General features: G+C 56.2%; 1 protein-coding gene across 1 annotated transcript, besides 4 other annotated features; it reads left to right on the top strand.

The window, feature by feature from the left end:
- Positions 2,721–2,970: an enhancer, noted in NCBI's record as "active region_10996". NCBI's record gives its function as "activates an Ori minimal core promoter by ATAC-STARR-seq in GM12878 lymphoblastoid cells {active_cell/tissue: GM12878}" and the evidence as "EXISTENCE:reporter gene assay evidence [ECO:0000049][PMID:35858748]".
- On the top strand, positions 2,900–5,244 carry PSMB10 (proteasome 20S subunit beta 10). The gene is made up of 8 exons (NM_002801.4): positions 2,900–3,056; positions 3,265–3,352; positions 3,438–3,535; positions 3,647–3,787; positions 4,053–4,168; positions 4,272–4,330; positions 4,802–4,953; positions 5,079–5,244. Exons 1-8 carry the CDS (start codon positions 3,001–3,003, stop codon positions 5,188–5,190), a joined length of 822 nt encoding a protein of 273 aa, NP_002792.1. The 5' UTR covers positions 2,900–3,000; the 3' UTR covers positions 5,191–5,244.
- Positions 3,221–3,500: an enhancer, noted in NCBI's record as "active region_10995". NCBI's record gives its function as "activates an Ori minimal core promoter by ATAC-STARR-seq in GM12878 lymphoblastoid cells {active_cell/tissue: GM12878}" and the evidence as "EXISTENCE:reporter gene assay evidence [ECO:0000049][PMID:35858748]".
- Positions 3,791–3,980: an enhancer, noted in NCBI's record as "active region_10994". NCBI's record gives its function as "activates an Ori minimal core promoter by ATAC-STARR-seq in GM12878 lymphoblastoid cells {active_cell/tissue: GM12878}" and the evidence as "EXISTENCE:reporter gene assay evidence [ECO:0000049][PMID:35858748]".
- Positions 4,131–4,330: an enhancer, noted in NCBI's record as "active region_10993". NCBI's record gives its function as "activates an Ori minimal core promoter by ATAC-STARR-seq in GM12878 lymphoblastoid cells {active_cell/tissue: GM12878}" and the evidence as "EXISTENCE:reporter gene assay evidence [ECO:0000049][PMID:35858748]".

Genomic DNA, 6,171 nt, shown 5'->3' with positions numbered 1-6,171 from the left:
GGGCACCCTAGATGTACAGCTGCCCACTCTCCTGGTCGAGCTGTTGAGGCAGTGTGCACCGTGCCTGCCTCTGTGCTGGGCGCGGGGACTGGAGCTGGCTCCACCCACAGCCCTGTCAGAGGAGCACGGGGCGGTGGGGGGGCGGTGACAATTTGAGCTGTCTCTCCCAGCTCCCAAAAGGGCAGGTGAGACGACCTTTTGAGTGCTGGGTGAATGACAGGGCCACAAGTGTTTAGAGGCCGGGCACGGTGGCTCACGCCTGTAATCCTGGCACTTTGGGAGACCGAGGCAGGCGGATCACCTGAACTCAGGAGTTTGAGACCAGCCAGGCCAACATGGCAGAAACCCCCGTCTCTACTAAAATACAAAATATTTGCCAGGCGTGGTGGCATGCATCTGTCGTCCCAGCTACTCAGGAGGCTGAGGCACGAGAATCATTTGAACCTGGGAGGTGGAGGTCACTGTGAGCCGAGATCACGTCGTTGCACTCCAGACTGGGCGGCAGAATGAGACTGTCTCAAAAAAAAAGAGACTGGGTCTCAAAAAAAAAAAAAAAAAAAAAAGTTAGAATTAAAATCTGGGAGTGACAACCATTAATCAGATCATTTCACTAATGGAAGTTTAATTACTAATGAAGCTAAATGCTCTGAGAAAAGCTTAGGAAGCACAAGAGGCTGAGCCTTTCAGGTCAGCAAAGACTTCCCAGAGGAGGCAGTGCCTACACTGAGGTCAGAGTGACAAGAAGAGTAATGGACCACTGTAAAGACTTGGGTTCGGCCGGGCGCGGTGGCTCACGCCTGTAATCCCAGCACTTTGGGAGGCCGAGGCGGGTGGATCATGAGGTCAGGAGATCGAGACCATCCTGGCTAACAAGGTGAAACCCCGTCTCTACTAAAAATACAGAAAATTAGCCGGGCGCGGTGGCGGGCGCCTGTGGTCCCAGCTACTCGGGAGGCTGAGGCAGGAGAATGGCGTGAACCCGGGAAGCGGAGCTTGCAGTGAGCCGAGATTGCGCCACTGCAGTCCGCAGTCCGGCCTGGGCGACAGAGCGAGACTCCGTCTCAAAAAAAAAAAAAGACTTGGGTTTGACTTGATTGAGCCCAGGAGTTCGAGACAAGCCTGGGCAATATAGTGAGACCTCATCTCTACAAAAATTTTAAAAATTAGCCTGGTGCGGTGGCTCATGCCTGTAATCCCAGCACTCTGGGAGGCCGAGGTGGGCGGATCACTTGAGGTCAGAAGTTTGAGACCACCCTGACCAACATGGAGAAACCCCGTCTCTACTAAAAATACAAAATTAGCCGGGCATGGTGGCGCATGCCTGTAATCCCAGCTACTCGGGAGGCTGAGGCAGGAGAATTGTTTGAACCTGGGAGGTGGACGTTGCGGTGAGCCAAGATCACACTATTGCACTCCAGCCTGGGCAACAAGAGCAAAACTCCGTCTCAAAAAAAAAAATTTATTTTTAAATTAGCCAGGTGTAGCCACAGCTGTAGTCAAATCTACTAGGCAGGCTGAGGTGGGAGGATTGCTTGAACCTGGGAGGCAGAGGTTGCAGTGAGCCAAGATGGTGCCACGGCATTCCAGCCTGAGCAACAGCAAGACCCTGTGTCCAAAAAAAAAAAAAAAAAAAACCGTAAAATAGGCCAGGCACAGTGGTTCATGGTTATAAGCCTAGCACTTTGGAAGGCTGAGGAGGGTGGATCGCCTGAGCTCAGGAGTTCAAGACCAGCCTGGGCAACACGGTGAAACCCCATCTCTACCAAAAAAAAAAAAAAAAAAAAAAATTAGCCAGGCATGGTGGTGTGTGCCTGTGGTCCCAGCTACTCAGGAGGCTGAGGTGGAAGAGTGCTTGTGCCTGGGAGGCAGAGGTTCCAGTGAACCGAGATCACACCATTGTACTCCAGCCTGGGCAACAGAGTAAGACCCCATCTCAAAAAAAAAAAAAAAAAATTAAGATAAACCCTTTGGCAGCTGCGTGCTGCTCTTAGCCTCAAACCCAAGTCTTTTTTTTCCCCCTTTGAGACGGGGTCTATTGCCCAGGCTGGAGTGCAATGGTATGATCCATACTCACTGCAGCCCCGAACTCCTGGGCTTCCAAAGTGCTGGGATTACAGGTGTGAGCCACCAGGCCCAGACTGCTGAAGGGTTTAAACCAGAGAAAGAATGTGACCAGATTTCCAATTTAGAAAGACCCGCTCTCTGCAGGGTAAGGAGTAGCCTGGGGGTCGGGGGGCGGGGGGCAAGAATTGCAAGGTAACCAGGGAGGCCAGTGCAATGTCCAGGTGGGAGAGGATGCTAGCTGAGACTAGAAGTGCTAGGAAAAGGATGTGTGCAGACAAGAGGTCACTGGGGAGGTGAAATAACAAGGCTTGGCCATGAGTGGAACCCAACACCCATGGTGCCCTCTTGAGAGAGGGAAGATGGCACCTGAGATGGAAGATGGAAAGACCAGGGTCCCTGTGACTGAGGACTGAGCCTCTGTTTGAGGTTTTTGCAGAGGAGTAAAGGCAACAAAAGAGGCAAGAGTTGGAAGAAAGGTGACAAGGAACAAAAGTCAGCTATGCCTGATGCTACTGGGTGGCCAGCAACAATGCTGACTTGGCCAAGGCTCTGAGAGCTTTACTATGCTGGGACTGGAGGTCAGAGTTGAGGCTAGGGTAAGAGCAAGGGGCTCAGATGGAGGGGGAGGAGGACCTGAACAAGTCCAGAAGGGAAGAGATTTGTCCCTCTATCCAACAGAGTACCCAGTGAGCAGCACAGAGGGCACAGCAAGGGACATCACCCGGTTCCCCAAATGCTCAGAGCCACAAGTGAAGCCAAAAGTGAAAGACAAGATGCAGAAAACCGCCACGGGCCTTTGAGGAAGGGTAAAGGCGAAAGCGAAAGCAGGAAGTACAGACGTGAAGCCTAGCAGAGGACTTTTTAGCTGCTCACTGGCCCCGCTTGTCTGGCCGACTCATCCGCCCGCGACCCCTAATCCCCTCTGCCTGCCCCAAGATGCTGAAGCCAGCCCTGGAGCCCCGAGGGGGCTTCTCCTTCGAGAACTGCCAAAGGTGAAGCGGGGGCGCGGGGGGCGGTCACTCCTGAGCCGCCTCTGCTTGCTCGTGGCCTTTTTTCCTGGCTGGGGGTGGGGGAGGGTGTGTTGGTCGACTTGGGTTCCAGGCTTACCCCGGAAGATGAGGGAGACGGGGACCAGGTTAGGGGAAGCAACAGGGGTCTTGAAAGCAGAGCCGAAACATGGGCGCCCTCCTCCGTTTCCAGAAATGCATCATTGGAACGCGTCCTCCCGGGGCTCAAGGTCCCTCACGCACGCAAGACCGGGACCACCATCGCGGGCCTGGTGTTCCAAGTGAGCAGCGGGGAGGGACGGGGAGCTGGAGGGGAGCCGAGAGTATCGAGCAGGCACTGAAGCTGCGGTCCCTCCCTCTCCTCAGGACGGGGTCATTCTGGGCGCCGATACGCGAGCCACTAACGATTCGGTCGTGGCGGACAAGAGCTGCGAGAAGATCCACTTCATCGCCCCCAAAATCTAGTGAGACTCCCGAGCCCAGTTCCCGTACGCAAAAAAGAACGGCCCCCTCGTTCCCACTCCGGTCCCCGCACGTCCCAGCCCTGCCCACACCGATCCTCCCTTTTGCCTCAGCTGCTGTGGGGCTGGAGTAGCCGCGGACGCCGAGATGACCACACGGATGGTGGCGTCCAAGATGGAGCTACACGCGTTATCTACGGGCCGCGAGCCCCGCGTGGCCACGGTCACTCGCATCCTGCGCCAGACGCTCTTCAGGTGCGGGGGCAGGGCTAACAGGACCCCGGCAGGGGTAGTTACGGGGTTGGGGCCATTGGAAGGCGGGACAGAAAGAAGGGCGGGACCGCGACGGGCCAGGTGACCGGAAGAGGCCGGCCCAAGAGAACCTGGGCTACAGGAAAAGGCGATGTCAGTCATCGGGCGCCAGCCCACAGGAAGGGGCGGGGATAGCACCTAGGAGCTGGGCATAGAGAGGTGGGGCCTAGGCCCCAGCTTGTGGCCGACCCCGCCCATCCTCGAGCAGGTACCAGGGCCACGTGGGTGCATCGCTGATCGTGGGCGGCGTAGACCTGACTGGACCGCAGCTCTACGGTGTGCATCCCCATGGCTCCTACAGCCGTCTGCCCTTCACAGCCCTGGGTGAGCGCTTCTGTCCCTTCTCCTCGAACTCTGCCCCTGTGACCTTGGCCTCACTCCAAACGGCGTCGCAGCGGTTGACTTCAGATGCTTCTCCTGCCTTCAGGCTCTGGTCAGGACGCGGCCCTGGCGGTGCTAGAAGACCGGTTCCAGCCGAACATGACGGTGAGCGGCCTCTGTCCCCGACTTTGTGGTCGCTGGTGGGATGTGCACCCGGGAGCTGGGGGAGCACAGGACCCTGGCCCAGTGCGGGTGGCTAAGGCTTGTCGGAGGAGGTGACCACTGAAGGGTGAGTGGAGTAAGGGCAGAGAAGTGCGGTCCCGACATAACACCGTCCAATACCAAAGCCTGCACGGCTGGGAGAAGTCGAAGCTCACAGAGGATCTTTAGGAGCCGAGGGCGGAGAGAAGGACCAGTAGGGTCCTACTTATATCAACGTCTGGAGCCTAGATTTTGTTTGGGGTGGGATGGAAGCAGGTGATGTTGCCTCAGAGGTGGCTAAGGCTCAGAGGGAGAAACACAGTGGGGGTTTGGAGGGCAAGACCAGATTGGGTAAGTGGACAGGCAAGTCCCCAGGCTGTAGCCTAAGTTAACAGCAGAGAGAGCCCGTTAGGTCTCACACACCCATCACCGCAGCTGGAGGCTGCTCAGGGGCTGCTGGTGGAAGCCGTCACCGCCGGGATCTTGGGTGACCTGGGCTCCGGGGGCAATGTGGACGCATGTGTGATCACAAAGACTGGCGCCAAGCTGCTGCGGACACTGAGCTCACCCACAGAGCCCGTGAAGAGGTGAGAGCTGGAGATCGGGGACCACAGGGATGTGTGGGGCTATAGCAGGGGAGATAGGGGGCTGCAAAAAGGGGATGGGCCACATGACAGGCCCATGTTCAGAGGCTGTCCCTCCTCCCTCCCAGGTCTGGCCGCTACCACTTTGTGCCTGGAACCACAGCTGTCCTGACCCAGACAGTGAAGCCACTAACCCTGGAGCTAGTGGAGGAAACTGTGCAGGCTATGGAGGTGGAGTAAGCTGAGGCTTAGAGCTTGGAACAAGGGGGAATAAACCCAGAAAATACAGTTAAACAGATGGCTGTGTCATTCTTGAGTGGAATGGGGTGGGCAGGCAGCCAGCAGGGCTCTGTAGCTAAGGCGTCCCTGCAGGGGCCATTACCTACCATAGCTCTAGTGTCTGGCCTAAGAGATGCCCTTCACCCATAACCTCAGGCACCTACAACTCCAGAACCCCAGCCCTGGCCAGCATTGCAGGCTTGGTCTCCACCCAAACCTTCCTTCTGACTCCACACTTGAAGGCTCCCCCACCACTCCACTGTCTTGCTCTTGCCCTCTAGTCCACTGGAGACTTGTAAATTATGAAATACCCCATGTACTACCCCCTCCTAGAGACTTTCCATGGCTCCTCAGTGGCCCAGGACAAAGCTCATACCTTTCAATCAGGCCCCCACAGGCCCCACTGAGGGCTAAAGTGCTGACAAGAGGAGCCGCTCCCTGACTCCAAGGCAAGTTCTCACCAAGCACTCCTCAACCTCGCAACATCTTTACCTGTGACACCCCTTAGATGACGAGGCATGCCTGCACTGCTCACGTGAAGCTCGTCTTCTGTCTGCACATGCTGGGCTTGTGACTCCAAGTTTTCCAGGCTAATAAGGGTCACAGGACTCACATGGGGAGAGATGACACGTTTCTCCAACAAACCTTTGCTGGGCCCCTGCTGAGTCTCAGGCCTGGCTGCTGGGTGCCAGCAAGAGCATCCTGTCCTCAGCGAGAACGGCTGAACTCCGCTGGAGCTTCAGAAATGTCAGGGAGAGTCTACCCAGGGCCCAGGGAGGGTCTATGCCGGGCTGCACATCCCCAGGCCGCTGAGTGTGCTCCCTGCACCCCAACATTCTATTAATGAACATTTGTAAATGTAACAGAAAAGTAGAAAGAGTTGTATATTGAATACCCTTATACTGTCAGGTCACCACAGACCTGACAGTATTTTGTTATATT

Source organism: Homo sapiens, chromosome 16 (assembly GCF_000001405.40).
Source record: "Homo sapiens chromosome 16, GRCh38.p14 Primary Assembly".
Taxonomy (NCBI): Eukaryota; Metazoa; Chordata; class Mammalia; order Primates; family Hominidae; genus Homo; species Homo sapiens.
This window is presented reverse-complemented; position numbering and strand designations above follow the sequence as displayed.